Source organism: Homo sapiens, chromosome 11 (genome assembly GCF_000001405.40).
Source record: "Homo sapiens chromosome 11, GRCh38.p14 Primary Assembly".
Taxonomy (NCBI): domain Eukaryota; kingdom Metazoa; phylum Chordata; class Mammalia; order Primates; family Hominidae; genus Homo; species Homo sapiens.
Window position 1 is genome coordinate 104,864,731 of NC_000011.10, and position 17,587 is coordinate 104,882,317.

Below are 17,587 nucleotides of genomic sequence, written 5' to 3' on the forward strand. Positions count from 1 at the left end.
GTATGTATACCATGTTTTCTTTATCCAGCGTACCATTGATGGGCATTTAAGTTGATTCCATGTGTTTGCTATTGTGAATAGTGCTGCAACGAACATTTTCTGCATATGGCTAGCCAGTTTTCCCAGCACCATTTATGGAATAGGGAGTCTTTTCCCCATTGGTTGTTTTTGTCAGCTTTGTCAAAGATTACATGGTCATAGGTATATCATCTTATATATCAGCTCTCTATTCTGTTCCATTTATCCATGTCCCTGTTTTAGTACAAGTACCATGCTGCTTTGGTTATGGTAGTCTTGTAATATAGTTTGAAGTCAAGTAACATGATGCCTCCAGTTTTGTTGTTTTTGCTTAGTATAGTCATGGCTATTCAGGCTCTTTTTTGGTTCCAAACTATTTTAAAATAGTTTTTATTTTTCTAGTTTTGTGAAGAATGTTGTTGGTAGTTTGAAAGGAGCAGCACTGGATCTATAGAATGCTTTGGGCAGTATGGGCATTTTCATGATATTGATTCTTCTTATCCATGTGCATGGAGTGTTTTTCCATTTGTTTGTGTCTTCTCTCATTTCTTTGAGCAGTGTTCTGTAATTCTCATTGTAGATATCTTTCACCTCCCTGGTTAGCTGTATGCCTCCGTATTTTATTCTTTCTGTGGCAATTGTGAATAGGACTGCCTTCTTGATTTTTTCTTGGCTTGGCTGTTGTTAGTGTATAAGAATGCTAGTGATTTTTGTACATTGATTTTGTATCCTGAAACTGTTGATTGTTTATCAGCTGAAAAAATTTTGGGCGGAGACTATGAAGTTTTCTAGATAGAGAGTCATGTGGTCTTCAAACAAGGATACTTTGACTTCCTCTGTTCTTATTTGGATACCCTTTATTTCTTTCTCTTGCCTGATTGCTTTGGCTAGGACTTCCAAGAGGGCATCCTTGTCTTGTGTTGGTTTTCAAGAGGAATGCTTCCAGCTTTTTCCCTTTCAGTATGATGTTGGCTGTGGTTTTGTCATAGATGACTCTTATTACTTTGTATTACGTCCCTTTAATACTTAGTTTTTGAGAATTTTTAACATGAAGGGATGTTGAATTGTATTGAAAGTCTCTTCTGCATTTATTGAGATAATCATGTGGTTTTTGTCTTTAGTTCTGTTTATGTGATAAATCACATTTATTGATTGACGTATATTGAACCAATCTTTCATCCCATGGATAAAGCCCACTTGATTGTGGTGGATAAGCTTTTTGATATACTGCTGGATTCGGTTTGCCAGTATTATTTTGAGGATTTTTGCATTGATGTTCATCAAGGAAATTGGCCTGAAGTTTTCTTTTTTGTGTGTGTCTTGGCCAAGTTTTGGTATCAGTATTATGCTGGCCTCATAAAATGAGTTAGAGAGGAAAGCTTCCTCCTCAGTTTTTTGGAATAGTTTCAGCAGGAATGGTACCAGCTCTTCTTTGTATGTCTGATAGAATTCATCTCTGAATTTTTCTGGTTCTGTGCTTTTTTTGGATGCTAAGCTTTTTATTACTAATTGAGTTTTGGAGTTTGTTATTGGTCTGTTCAGGAATTCAATTTTTTCCTGGCTCAGTCTTGGAAGAGTAAAATATACTGTTTCATAAGCATGTTATTGATCAGCATTTAATAATCAATATTTATATTCTGGGAGGAGATAAATTACCTCTCTCATTTTTTTTTCTGCAGCACATAGAAGAATACCTCAGACATATAAGGTTTTCCATTTCATTTTAATACATAAATCAGTATAATACTCATTACACTAATCTCACATGTATACTTATATGTGTATTTTAGATAATTCTGTACAGATTAATGAAAAGAAAACATTTATTTATTCATCCACTTGTGACTAAGGTATCCATCTGTTCAACAAATGTTTATTGAAACTATATTGTTCCAGACATTATAATAGTAATGAATGCAGGAATGGACATTGTCTTCCTTGTGTTTTTAGTATAACCACAGATATACCATTAAGCAACTATTAAAACAGAGAGTGATAAATGCTATAATAGGGAAAAAACAGGTGCTGATACCCAAAAGCCCTATAGGTTAATTTGGAGTTTCAGAGAAGGTTTTTACCAGGAAATAATAAGTTGACATTAAGAACAAAATGATAGTAAGAAGTTACCCAAACTAAAAGGTAGCAGAGAAGCACATCAAATGGCCATCCCACATAGAGATATGTTGAATGCACACGAAAAAGAAAGAACAATGAAGAGATGAAGGGGATTGAGTGTGACGAGATCAGAGAGAAAGAGGTGGCTAGACACTGGGCAAGTCATGGCTTGACTATGACAGACTCTATAATCAAATCTGGAAGTAAATATTTTACCCTAAGGAAAGTGGACAAAGATTAGAGTATAAAAGCAGAAAAACATATAGAGACAGGGTGTCCAGTAAGAATATATGAGAATATTCTTGAGTTAAATAATATTAGCTTTAATGGAAATGTTGGCAATGAAAATGGAAAATAGGAAAATGTATAAATAAGTAGAAATAAATTGAACATTCGTGAACAATTAATGGATCAAAGAAGAAACCAAAAAAAAAAAAAAAAAAACTAAGCCCAAGTTAGCAGAAGGAAGCAAATAAGATAGATTACAGTAGAAATAAGTTAAATAGAGATTAGAATAATAACAGAAAAGATGAACCAAACTAAGAGCTAGTTTGTTGAAAACATGAGTAAAATTTTAAAACATTTAGTTAGACTAAGAAAAAATAGAGAAGACACAAATAAATAAAATGAGAAATGGATAATAAACCTGGCCAGGAGAGAAAGATATTAGTCCTGAAAGTAGGAACAGGAAGCAGTTAAATCCCAGATGAAGCAGCACAGCTGAGTGACTTTCCCTGCTTGCCTCTTTTCCCTGCCTGAGAAGGAAGCTGAGAGTTTTTTTTCTTTTCTTTTTTCTTTTCTTTTCTTTTCTTTTCTTTTCTTTTCTTTTCTTTTCTTTTCTTTTCTTTTCTTTTCTTTTCTCTTCTTTTTTCCCTGCCCTGGGACCTGATAGCTTCACTGATGAATTCTACCAGATATTTAATAAAGAATTAATATCAATCTTTTTTCAAAGTCTTCCAAAAATAAAAAGAAAGGAAAGAAGACTTTCAAACTCATTTCACAAGGCTAGTATTACCCTGATACTAAAGCCAGACAGATAAATAATTTAAAAACACTTACAGGCCAATATCTGTCATGAACATAGATACAAAAATTTTAACAGAATACCAGCAAACTGAATTCAACAAACTATTAAAAGGCTGATATACTGTCATCAAGTGGGATTGATTCCTGAAATTCATGGATGGTTCAATATACACAAATTAATAAATGTAATACACCACATTAATAGAATGAAGGATGAAAATCATGTGATCATCTCAATATATGCAGAGAAAGTATTTGATAAAAAGCAACATCCTTTCATGTAAAAAATTATCAACACATTATGTACAGGAGAAATGTACCTCAACACAACAAGCCCACAGCTAATATCATACTCAATGTTGAATGTTGAAAGCTTTTTTTCTAAGATCAAAAAACAAGACAAGAATTTCCCCACTTGCAACTTCAATTCAACATTGTTCTGGAAGTCCTAGTTAGAGGAATTAGGTAAGACAAGGAAATAAAAGGCATCCAAAATGGAAACGATAGAGTAAATTTTTTCTGTTTGCAGATAACATGATTTTATACTAAGAAAATCCTAAAGACTTCACCAAAACACTGTTAGAACTAATAAATGAATTCAGTGAAGTCACAGGATACAAATCAACATATAAAAATCGATTGCATTCCTATGTACTAAAAACAAACTATCCAAAAAATAAATTAAGAAAAAAATTCATTGAAAATACCACTCAAAAAGAATAAAATACATAGCAATAAATTTAATAAAATGAATGACATATCTGTATATTGAAAATTCTGATATTGATGAAGATTTAGGAAGACAAAAATAAATGCAAAGATATCCTCTGTTCATAGATCAGAGGAATCAATATTGTTAAAGTGTTCATACTACCCAGAAATGTAATCTCTATCAAAATTTCAAGGGCATTTTTCACTGAAATAAAAAAAAAAACCAAATCCTAAAAGTCACATGGAACCACAAAAAACTAAATAGCCAAAGTCGTAAGAATGGCAAGAAAAACAAAGCTGGAGATATCAAACTGCTTGATTTTTAAATATACTACAAAGCTAAAGTAATTGAAGCAGTATGGTGCTGCCATACATATGGGGATATACACTAATGGAATAAAACAGAAAGCCTAGAAATAAATCCACACATTTATGGTTAATTCATTTTTGGCAAAGGTACCAAGAACACACAGTGAGGAAAGGATAGTCTCTTCAATAAATCCTGCTGGAAAAACTGTATATTCACATACAAAAATAATGAAATTGGATCTTTATCACACACTATTTAAAAAATCATTGCAAAATGGATTGAAGGCCCAAAACTGTAACAATACTAGAAGAAACCTTAGGGAAAAAGCTTCAGGATATTGATCTGGGAAATGTTTTTTTGGATATGACCTCAACGTACAGGCAGCAAAAGTGAAAATGGACAAATGGGATTATATCAAACCAAAAATCTTCTATACAATAAAGGAAACAACAGAGTGAAAACACAACCAATGGAACTGCAGAAAATATTTGCAAACCATGCGTTTGATGAGGGTTTACTATACAAAATGTATAAGTAACTTAAAAATTTCAATAGCAAGAAAGCAAATACACTGATTAAAAAATGGGCAAAGGAGCAGAATAGACATTTTTCAAAAGAAGACATACAAATGGACAACTGGTGTATGAAAAAATGCTCGGCCTTACTAATTAGGGAAATGCAAATTAAAACCACAATGAGATATTACTTTGCAACTGTTAGAATGGCTAAGATATATACATGTGTGTAAATGTGTATGTATGTATACAGAAACCTGGGTCAATGTACACTGAGTGTCAAAAGTGCCTTTTTTTGGCCAGTTAAATGACCCTTTGTATATAGGCTGTGTGTGTGTGTGTGTGTGTGTGTGTGTATATATGTGTGCATATATATGTGTGTGTGTATATATATATAACACAACAGAATACCATGCTTTACATGCTTAATCTTAAACACAAAGAAGTCTTAAACACAAGGAAATCTTGTCATTTGTGACAGCATGGATGTACCTGGAGAACATTTTTGTTAGGTGAAGTAAGCCAGGCTCAAAAAGCAAATACTGCATGATCTCACTCATATGTGGAACTAAAAAAAGTCAAACTTACAGAAGCAGAGTAGAATGGTGGTCTTCATGGTCTGGGGTGTGGGAAAATAAAGTGATGTTGGTCAAAGGGTACAAAGTGTCAGTTATGCAGAGTGAGTAAATCCTGGAGACCTAATCTATAACTTGATGAATATAGTTAATACACTATTATATGTTTAAAATTTGCTAAAGGAGTGGATCTTAAATGTTCTCCAGATCCCCACACACACTCAATGGTAAGGATCTTAGATAATGGATATATTAATCAATTTGGTTCTGGTAATCATTTCATAATGTACACTTGTATCAAACCATTCTATTATACACATTAAATAGATACAGTTTTTTGTCAATTATACCCAATAAAGCTAGAAAAAAAAAAAGAAGATGAAAATCATGGAGTTTTGAGAGATATAGGATTTACAGGTTGACTTGATGTGGATATACAAAATAAGAGAGAAGTCAAGGGGAGCTCCCTGTTTCTGGCTTTGACAATGAGCTGGATGCTAGTACCCTTCACTACAAGGAGAAATCAATATGTATTACAAATTAGCTACACAGGAACGGGTTGACATCACATTTGAACCTGTTGTTTGTGTAATACATCCACTGGTGACATTGAATGAAGGGTTGGGTTTATGGTTATAGAGCTCAGGAAATACAGATTTTGGAGTCTTAGCCTTATACAAGAACACTGAATCCTTAGAAATAAATAAGATATTCCAGATAAAGCGTGTAAAGCATCGCAAGTGAGGCTAGAAATGAGGAATTGAGAATGCCAAATGTAAAGTGAGTTGCAGGAGAAGAGCCTGCTTTTGAAGAATCTGTGAATAAAGTGCCTCAGAATACAGAGACTATAGGAGGGAAACGTCTGCAGTGATATTTGCTTGAAACAAGTTAACTTTTACTTTGGCTTATGAATAATTGGTGTCCCTGTCAAGAGCATTTCCCATGAATTAATTATGAGAGAAGTCACACAACAGTAGTTCCAGAAATATGTGAGAATTAGAAAATGAAGGCTGTAAAATGCAACAAGCTATTGAATGGACAGGAATCTTAGAATTTTAAAGTCAAAGAAATGCTGACCACAGTTAAGAGATATCAGAAGAGAAGAATCTGTGGTTATGCAAAATAGTTATACAACAGTTATACAAAGGCCAGCTGGCTCTTATTAAATAGAAAATGAGGGAAAAGTGGAGGAATGGCATGCAATATTCAAAAACTCCTGTTGCTTTCTACAATTATCATTGAAAGTCACATAGTACATCCTTACTAATGTTTAGTGTCTTGTCCTTATGTGATATTTGTAAGAGCATGGCTCCTTTTTCTGTATTATTGACCAGCCTTCACATTTTATTTGGGAGTATAATTTAATTTTATAAGACATGTGGAAAATAAAACTTTTACCAAATAGTCTTTTAAGAATCTAAATGGATACAGTTAACTGTTTCCAACGTGAAACCTCACTGATTAAACAAACATGTATTGAGTGACTGCTAAATGCCAGGTACTGAACACATAGAAGAAAATAAAGCATTTTTTAAAAACTAAACAAACAAATAAAAAACTGCCCCATGGTGTTAACATACAACCTTCACTTATAAAATTTTATGTTTACCTTAAATTTCATGTAGTTTCATAAACAAATCCATTAAATTTCATGTTATGTGATGAGACCTGTCATTTCTTATTCTTTTCCCTAACCCTCAATATCTCATACAGTTCTCTGAGTAAATGGAATTAATATTAAAATGACCTACTTAATTATTACCACATTTACTAAAATATTGGGAATTAAATAATTAAAGATATTTACTAATATGAGAATTGGATTGGTTTCAAATATGAAGTAGCCATATCATCTGACTATATTTTATGTAAGTTGAGCTGGCCCAATTTGTGATAATAAGGACAAAATCTCAGAGATCCTCTAAGGGAGAACGCAGTAATCTTTATTAATTCCCCATCTTTGATTCAACCATTTTGACTTATTTTTCCTATTTTTAGAAATTTTAAGGAAAGCACTTTACCATAAGTTGACCCTGATTAGTACCACTTTTCCTTATGTGATTCTCCATGAAGTTACAGAAAGGACAATAATAATTATTACCATTTACTTTCACTGTTATTTTACAATGAAACACAATCTGTGAAAATAAAAATGAAAGTCCTATCTAAAGTAAATATCTTCTCCCTGCTACAATATAGATTGTGGTTTAATTTTCAAACATATATTTTAAATTCATATTTGAAGTGAAAACTGTTTTTTGTTTGTTTGTTTGTTTGGGGGATGCAAAATTTAGTAGCACAAATAACCTTTACATGTTTCCAATGAACTAGCATAGATGAGTCACTGAGGTAAAAGCTGTCACTATTGAGTTTGTACCAACTCTACTGTAAACATAGAAAGGTTATAATGTGGTAATATATTGTGGCTAAAAGACAAAGTTTAGCAATATTATGTATTTGAAAGTTTAATTTTAGTTTAGTATATTTTTCATTTCATAAATTTGAAGTAAAAGTAGAAAGGAATAATGATAAAATGATGAGGTTCTCAACACTTCAGGCAATTTGGAAATTCTCTAATTAGCAATAATTGCAGAATCAGCGCTTACTACACACTTGAAATAAATGCCTCTTTAAACAAACTACAATTTAAATATTTCTCATACAAATATAGAAAACAACGTTGTCTTAAAAGGAAATAAAATAAAAACGTACTGATAAGCTGCTGAGTTAATTGCTGTGTTCAAATTATCCTATCTATTTTTACCTTTAAAAATGTATGCCCTACTCTTTTATTACCATCTGCAGAGATGAAAAACTATAATTTTTGCACTTGAATTAAAGCCATGCTCACCTACTTTAAAAATAATAACTGATACTTCATGTCTCATGATATCAAGGAAAAAGTAGAATAAATCCATATTAAATTAATAATAACATAATTAATGTATTTATGCTACCATACCATATTAAGTGTTTTGAGAAAAGGGACAAAATACTTCTAGTTTATTGTTTTGATTGTTGGAAGGATCCAGAAGCAAATAATTTCTAAATAGTAGTTTTTTCTTATTTCTTAATTTGTAGTATTTACTTTTTTTCATTGTGGTTTTGATTTTAAGTTTATTAGAAATAGAAATTATAATGTTGTGTTTCAGGGTGTATGTAAGGTATTAATTTTAGCTTGTTAACCAATGAGTGCACTTTTCTTTTTCCTGCAACAACTTGCTCTCTCAGCTGGACTTCTTTCTATCTAACCAGATACTTTCAAGATCTGGGAGCTTCAGGTTCCTTGCTCCCTTGGCTTTGCCGTTGATAACTTCCTGTCCAATCCTACCAAAGTCTGGAACTGGAACATCCAAGGGTTGCCCTTAGACGCCTTCTCTACTGAGAATGGCATCATCATCAAGCGAGGCCATAGGTAAGGGTGCAGCTGGGAGCGGGTGTGGCCTGGGAGCAGGGGCTGTCCTCTGACCTGTGCTCGCCCTTTAGGTGGGCACGGGTAATACAAACAAAAAGAGCTGGAGAATGGTCCAGGTCCAAACATAGCTACTTTCAAACCGTTGATAACTGGGATGAAAAACAAGAATTTCGTGATGGTATTGTTTAAAAAAGAATGAAAGACTAACTTGCTTTTCTTAGTATTTACTAAATCAGAAACCTTGCTGTACACACACACACACACACACACACACACTTACTTTCTTAAACATAAGGAAGCTGCTTGTATTGGTTTTTTGCTTCTTTATGTTTTCCTTTAATATAAAATTGGATAAAATGTTTGAATGCCGTTATTTTACTTTTCTTAACTCTGTGTGTAGAGTGTTATGCAATTTTTTTCCTCTTCATATAATTTACAATCCTTTAGATTTTAAAAGTTACGTTTTTCTCATTTTCTTTCTTTGTAAATGGTAGTGGGTAGCAATTTGTGGATTTAGGTGAAGTGACATAGACTTTCCTATGTCACTTCTTTCACAGGAAGAAGTGTTTAAACTATAAACTGAGGAGGAGAAAATATCTAGGAAAAGAGAAGAAAGTTGGCAAAACCATGGTCTCCTTCTTCCTGAATTTGTAACTTGGCCTACAAAGAAAGCATCAGTCCTACTACACAGGAAGAGTCAACACTCGGAGGAGGCCTTCTGCACTTTGTCCTCTCCTTCTTTTCACTCCTCATAATGGGAAAGAAAGTAAGTTATCTAATCTGTGAAATAAGAATATGTTGCATATAACCAGTTTGGCCTCTTCTTCGTCTTTTTGGAGGGGCATATGCTTAGAAAACACAGTTTTCCCCTCTTACCTTTCTTGGGAGACATGTTCCACGATTGTCAGTGCATGCCTGAAATGTATGATAGGACTGAACACTAAATTTACGGTGCTCGTTCCTGTACATATACTATGATAAAGTTTAATTTATTAGGTATAGTAAGAGATTGATAATAATATCTAATAGTAAAATAAAAAATATAAGAAGATACTGTAAAAATGTTACGTAGATATAGTCTTTCTCTCCCTCTCAAAATCCTGTAATACTCAGACCATAATTGACTGCAGGTAAATGAAACCACAGAAGACAAAACACGGATAAGGTGGGACTATCGTATTCATGCTCTTCTCTGCTATGAAATAATTTTACCACATTAGGGTCTGTGAATGCAGCCAGGGGAAGGGTGCTATTATGGGAGAGTGCCTCACTTTCAGGCAAAAGATATTCACAATAATCTTAGGACACCAACTTAATGGTAAAGGAGTTTTGCTTATTTCTAACTATCTGAATAGGGTGTGGACTTCTTAGTTTGTTCACAATTAAATAGAAGGGAGAGAAACATGATTATTTGGAAGTTCTGATTAATGTTTAACACTCTTGAAAATATAATGGAGTAAATGCATCTAATCATGGTCATTTACTCTTTTGCCATGACAATAAAACACTTTGAACTTGAATCCTAAAAGATATTTAAATTCTTATCTATAAATGATGTGATTTCTTTCCCATCTAGCCTAATCTCTGGTATATTTAACATGATGAATCCATATACATTTTGGGAACATATGCTTTATTTGAGAATTTATTCCATTCCCTAAGTATTTCTGAGCACAAATTCTATTTTATATAATTTGGTAGGTTCTGTGCAGATGAGAATAAAAGGGGGATCGTTTACCCTAATAAATGCTTATAGTTTTAGGAAAGGATAGACATTAAACAAAAAAATTGGTAAATATATAATTACAATTTGTGACAAGTACATTGAAGGATTTTTTAAAATCTCATTTTTATGCCAGTAAATAACAGGATATCCAGTTTAGACTGAGGATCAGAGAAGTCCTCTCTGAGGAAGTGCCTCTTAAGATGATGGCTGAAGAAGGCATATGAGTTAGCCCAATGGACAATGAAAGGAAAATTACTGTATTACAAGCAGAAAAAAACAACATGTGAATGCCTGGAGGCCCTGAGGCCCTTAGGTGAGAAACTGCTTGTCTGCATGTGGTTCAGAGAAAACAAATTATATAAAACGAAGTTAGCAGCGTCGGAAAGGTTTGTTAAGGATTTTTTGTTTTAAGATTTTGTAAGACCACTCAGGCTATTGTTTCGAGAATGAATCAGAGGCAGGAGTAGGGTTGGCGAGGATGCAAAAGAGATGGGGATATCTAATATTACTTTAGCAGACTCTCTCCTTTCTGTCACTTGTTATCCTGTGAAGATATCACTTGCTGCCCAATGAATAAAAATTAGGAAAATTGGTCTCCTGTTTTCTCATGCTCAGGGAACATCTTCTTTTCTGTACTTTTCTTCAGACAGGGAAGATCAGTGAAGTAATAAGAAATACACATATTGGTCTCTAACCCCAGTCCCTAGCACAGAACTCCTAAAACTATTGCAATTTTCTGAGCAATAGAGGTGCTAAAAGAATCTTTTGTTCTAATGTTTAGTCTCTGCCCTGATTCCTGAGACAAAGCTCCTAGTAACATTGTAGATAAAGGTGGTAGGTTAATTGTTTGTTCTAATATTTGGTCTTTGATGTAGGGTCTTGGCACAGAGGTCCTAAATCCTTTTGAATTTCCTGGGTAATAGAAGTATCTTTGGTTGTAATGAGGTGACTTGGTGGGTTTTAGGATGGGGCTGGTCACCAGAAAGACTAAACCGTGGTTATATGCTTGGAGCTCTCATCCCCACCCCCCATTCCTCAAAGAGAAGAGAAGGGCTGCAAATGGAGTTTATAATCAGTCATGGCTACATGATGAAGCCTCCCTAAAAATCTTTGAACTATGGGGTTCAGGAGCTTCTGAGTTGGTGAACACATCTGAGTGCTGGGAGGATGGTGCACCTCAACTCCATAGGGACAGAAGCTATCCTTCCAGACCTCACCCTATGTACCTCTTCCTCTGGCTGTTCATCTGTATCCTTGGTTATATCCATGATTAATAAGCCAGTAATTCTAAGTAAACTGTTTCTCTGACTTCTGTGAGCCACTAATGCAAAACATGATTTATAGCTGGTTAAGAGGAAGTATTGTTGATAACCTACTACTTGCAATTGGCCTTTGAAGTGGGGGAAATTTTTATGGTAATAAGCCTTTAACTTGTGGGATCTGACACCATATTAGTCCATTCTCATGTTGCTAATAAAGACATACCCAAGACTGGGTAATTTATAAAGGAAAGAGGTTTAATTGACTCACAGTTTAGCATCTCTGGGGAGACCTCAGACAACTTACAATCCTGGCAGACAGGGAAGCAAACATGTGTTTTTTCACATGGCAGCAGGAGAGAGAATGAGAACCAAGTGAAGGGAGAAGCCCCTTATAAACCATCAGATCTCATGAGAACTTACTATCACAAGAATAGCATGGGTAAAATAGCCCCCATGATTCAATTACCTCCCATCAGGTTTCTCGCAGGACATATGGAAATTATGGGAACTACAATTCAAGATGAGATTTGCATGGGAACACAGCCAAACCATATCAGACACTATCCAGATCCCATTATCTATCTAGATAGTGTCAGAATTAAATTGAATTATAGGAAACCCAGCTAGTGTCTGCCGGAGAATTATTTGGTGTGTGGGGCAAGACTCCCATACATCTAGTGTCAGAAATGTGGAGGTGAGTGATTGGTTGAGTGCATGAGACTAGAAATAAACAATATGATTTTTTCTTAAATCTCAGAAGGCCAACACTTTGCTTTTCTAGTTCTGAAATAATCAGAAAATAGGAGTGTCATTTTGCTGAGAATTGCCGTTTCAGACCAAAAATACACTGAACTTCAGAAAAAGATTAAGCAGTTCTGAGAATCAAGGGCTATGAAAGTAAAACGAAAATAAGACAGAGAGGAAGGAAAAAAGTGTGACTTCCTATTCTCATGCCTCAGTGTGTGTGTGTGGGGGGGGTGGGGTGGGAGTGTATGTGCGTGCTCATATATGCACTAGTTTAAGAATCTAGTATGTTTCAATTAATTTTAATTTTCAGTTTGTCTTCAAAATCCATGTCTTCTTCCAGAGGTCCACTTTCAATAACAAAAACACTTCTACTTGCCTTTCTTTAGAAACTTAAACTATCATAAAAGTCATTTCTCTTTTCCTTCTTGAATTATTCAAAGTCTGGTGCCTTAGACTTTCTTCTTCTGCCCAGACTATGCTCACACTGATGAAACCTGGGGAATCTATTCCTTTGGGTTGGGGAATATTCCCTATTCTCTCCAACAGTAAACATAAAAGATGAATTTCTTCCTAAATTACTTAAGGGCAGACACACCAGTTCTAAGTATATTACATTTTCTCTAAAGCACACATAGTTTAGTCTCATTAAGGAATATAAATTTATCCCATCAATTAGACTTTGACCTGACTTGAAAAATGATAGCCTTAGTATTATGATGCTGAGAAGCATTTGCCTCCTTCCCAAGTCTTCTTTCAATACAGAAAGACACTACATTAGCTGAGAATGCAATATGTGGGAAATTGCCTTGATGCAGTGGAAGCACTAACTGGTGAGCTATCCCAGAGGTCGAGGAACAGAAAGGCTTTCAGACCAAATTAAAATGACCAAACCACATGGCTTATTAAATTGATTAAAATACTGAGCAAAAAACAAGGAGAATGAATTGGGGTAAGGTAATTCACTTAGAGAGGTGCAAACAGGGTGAAAGGACTACACTCCCTGAGTCCTAGGGTTCACAATGTGCATAAATCTTGCTTCTCTTTTGAAACATCAGCCTTCATGGGTGCTGGTTCAATGATGAGGGCCAGAGTTAATGTCTGAACAGAGAAGGGCCCCAAGGGAAGATATCCTGAACCAAGGACACAAACCTCCTCTTTCAGAGAGATGCAGGAGAAGTGTGCTTGATGCAAGAGTAGCATCAATTCATTTGTTGAACAGCCTTTGGTTTTATTTGCACTTTTGGGCAGGATCAGAATAGAACCATACTTGGTATCTTATTGAACTTCTTGGGTAGGACTAGAATAGAACCATGCTGTGTGTCAACAAGTGGTGGCTAATTGAGGTTTAATAAAGTTCTTGATCAAGAAGAAGTGGCATCCTCAAGATGTGGGTCTTTTCATCCTTTGCATCTAAGCAGCATATTTTTGTTCCATCACATTTTCTATTTATTCTATCTCTGGTTGTCATACAGGTTACTAACTTACTATCTGTTTTACCAGATCATCTGAATTCTACCTATGTCTCACAAATTACTTCTTTTTCATTATATATAATAAACCTATCCTGTGGGTTTTGCCTATATCTCACATGCTTATTTTCCAGCATATTGTTGTCCATGTTTAGCACTTCTTATGAATTCCATCCATCCTATTTGTTTTTTAATCTTCTATAGCAGAACTGAATATTCTCAACAGTACAGCAAAATCCCATTACATAATGCCATTAGCCAATCCCTCTAATTTGATTACTGTTATAATCACAAAATTTGTTCATTGTATTCCCCAATATTTTTCCAGACCAAAAAAAGAGAGCTTGCATTTTTTAAAGGAATTAAGAGACATTTGTCATACTTCAATTGAGAGATGATTTTTGCCTTAGCCTGGGCCTACCACACCAGATGTGGAAAAATGGATGAAACTGAGAGAAAATTAGCAGAACTAGGTGACTGATTTTATGTGGGATTTGCAGGAGAAAAAGATATCAAGGATAACTCCAAGTTTTTTGGTTCTGTATAAGTATCACTCACTAAGAAGTGTGGGAAGAATGAAGGAAGAGTTAATTGAGGAGTAGAAAGACGTGATAAATATAAATCCAGTTTTGGAATTATGTCCCAAAAATATACCAGTTGTCAATTTGTTAAATATTGATGTGAAACTTAGAAGACAAATCTATTGAGTATATACAAAGTTGGGAATATAGCAACATATAGATGACATTGAATACAATGAAATTACATGATTTCATCTAAGGAGAAAATGTAGAAGTGATAAGAGAAGTCAGTGGATCAATATATATGACTATTTATACATACATATTTATAGTGTACTACATGCAGGCCAATGTTTTAGTTTTTTATTGTGTCAACTTAACTAAGCTGAAACTAAGTTTCTCAGAATTCCTCTCCATATGTAGTTCCAGGTTAGCTTAGGCCACAGGAGCTGTTTTTTCCTGAGATTTGGAAGATGAGAGTAAAGCAGCAACCATAATTTATTAGACATGGAAGCCTGGTGAAAAACACGAGCCACGTTGCAACTTAGGTCTGTCGCCACTCTTGTGGTTGGTTGGAGAAACAGCCAGGCCCACCGTTCCTGCGGGTCCAGTCAGTTTTCTCCTTCAGCTTCCTCAATTCTTCAATCAGATGATTACTTAGATCCAGGTATGAGTTTAACATTAGCTCCTTCTGCAGAACACACCCATCTCCAAAGTTGGAAGCATAGCAACAGTGAGAGACTGGAATGAGTTTAGTCCAGTCTTTCAGTTTTTAGCTGATTCATACAGGTTTTAGGTTGTCTTGCTTCTTTACCATCAAGTCTATTTTCACTCACCTCTTGCTTACCCTGCCAGGTACCCTACAGGTTCCAGTCATAGACAAAGAAGCATCAGCTTCACATAGACCATTGAAACAGCTTTCAGAGGATTCTGCTTCTCTGATCAAATTCTGAATGATACAGGTACAAACAATCTGATTCTGCTTTTGTGGTAATGCTACTGTAACACTAAGAAGAGCAGAATGATTTTGATAAGTTACATAGGACACAGCAGTGCACTGTACCAGTCATTAAACAATTATTTATCAACTTTAATTTCATCCTTTCATACTTTGCTCTATGATCTCAGGTTTGGAATTCTGCAAACCCTACTTTTCCTTGGTCGGATAGCTTTTTATTAGATTTTGCCAATAAGGGCTGAAATAAGTGCAGTGGCATACCATATGAGTATGGTGATGAGAAGGGGTATTATTTTGGGCAGTGATGGTAATGGTAGCAAATTCTAAAGTGAGAATGTGCCTAGCAGGTAAGAGGAAAAGCTTGGTGGGGTTTGAATTTGGAGAGGTAGCCCAGAAGATAGTTCCTTTAAGTGCAAAGCAAACATGTGTAGAACCTGTGGGCAATAGGAGACACCAGCTAACATGTAACTTGTGTATAGTGACCAATATGCATATGGAAGGATGCTTAACCAATTTATAAAGGAAATACCTAAAATTTAAAGTGATTTTATTTGTGGCTTGACAAATCAACAGGATTAACTATATATCACATTGGTGAAACTATAGATAAATGGGCCCTGTCACTTTCTGCTCACAGATAGTACCCATTTGGACAATTTTCTTAACAATACCTTACACAGAAAAGTTAAAATTTAATGCTTTTGACTCTTTTCAGTTCTGAGAGTTTATTCCAATAATTTTATCAGACAGAAACTTAAAGATATATGTACAAGGGAAGTTTTATTACAGAAATTCTTAAGATAACAAATTTAGAAATTACCTAAATTCATAAAATAAATTCTAGTACACCTATTAAAAGGAATATTGGGTAGCTATTAAATGTGGAAACAATGCACAGCAGAGGCAGCCAGTTGAGACCCAATATTGTTTTTTCCTTTCCTAATAGAATCCCCAGTATTTAGCTAATCATGTGGTAACATGCAATGAATATGTCACTTTTCATCTCATTGCTAAGGGTTGCTCTGTTACTAAATTCTGGTTGATGGCTTATAAGCATAAATGATTCCCTGAAAGGGAGGGCAAATGTGTTTTTTTCCTCTCTTCCTCCTTGTTGGCTGGAGTATGCTTTTAATAGTAGTAATGGCTGTAGTTCCGGTAGCCACCTTGAACCAAGAGGTGACCTTTGAAAGGCAGGCACTCACAGAGGAGTGACAGAAAAGACAGCTGGTGGCAGTGGGCAGGTGGGACGGACAAAGGATGAGAAAAATCAGAAAATTATGTAAATATGGCACCCTAAAGTTGCACCATAGATTGTCATCCCGAAGATTTCTGAATTTATTCCATTTATGTCACCTATTCTTCACATATCTGTTACTCAATTTAATTCTAGGTGATTATTTTTAAGGAAAATTGAAAAGCAGGTCATAGAGTGGCTTGTACAGTATGCTTCTCATTGTATATGTCTTTGTATGTGAGGAGACAAAGAAAGACAGAAAGGTGAAAATGAGAGAACATATGGCATCTTGTGGAACATAGATGATTTTCACTTCCCTCTTTATAATTTTTAGTTCTGTTTGGATAGTTTTACAAAATTGCCAGTGTTCTCAAGATTAAAACAAAATAAAGAGTTTTTAGTTTGCATAACTAAGCCTTCATCTAGATGAAAAGTTAAAATAATCACTACACACATGCAAACATATATTGGTAATTTATTTTAAAAATTTACATCATTTTGATAGTTTTTAATAGTAACTATTAAGGATTAAACAGGCTGGCCTTTATATGTGCTTATAGGTTAACTTATAGGTGAACTCAGGTATAAAACATGTTCAAGTATTATTGGTTTATTAAAAAATATCATTTGTAGCTCCCTAAAAAATATGTATTATTAAAAATATCCTATGAAATAATGAAAAATAAATCAAGAAAGATGAGAATCCCTTCTATAAATATAAATATGGGATTTCAAAATCAACTATTAGCAAAATTATTTTAAGTGTAGAAGAAATAAATAAACCTACATTACAAAGATGTCATACTAAGAAAGCAATCACTGCTTCATATTAGACCACTGGCTAGTATGATCATATAAGTATTCTAAATACAAAGATTATACTTTCCATTTATTCTATCTATTCTACATGAGGACTTCAAATAACACTGAGAGATGAATCATATGAAAAATAGCAATGTAAATATACATTTAATTATATAAAAGC

General features: G+C 34.4%; 1 long non-coding RNA gene across 1 annotated transcript, besides 2 other annotated features; it reads left to right on the forward strand.

Moving 5' to 3' along the window:
* The first annotated feature begins 8,484 nt into the window (after positions 1 to 8,484).
* LOC107984380 (uncharacterized) lies at positions 8,485 to 10,838 on the forward strand. Its single transcript, XR_007062985.1, has 3 exons — positions 8,485 to 8,685; positions 9,243 to 9,451; positions 10,545 to 10,838. It is a non-coding gene; the product is annotated as an uncharacterized LOC107984380 (long non-coding RNA).
* Positions 12,506 to 12,595: a silencer, noted in NCBI's record as "silent region_3867". NCBI's record gives its function as "represses an Ori minimal core promoter by ATAC-STARR-seq in GM12878 lymphoblastoid cells {active_cell/tissue: GM12878}" and the evidence as "EXISTENCE:reporter gene assay evidence [ECO:0000049][PMID:35858748]".
* Positions 16,796 to 16,865: an enhancer, noted in NCBI's record as "active region_5459". NCBI's record gives its function as "activates an Ori minimal core promoter by ATAC-STARR-seq in GM12878 lymphoblastoid cells {active_cell/tissue: GM12878}" and the evidence as "EXISTENCE:reporter gene assay evidence [ECO:0000049][PMID:35858748]".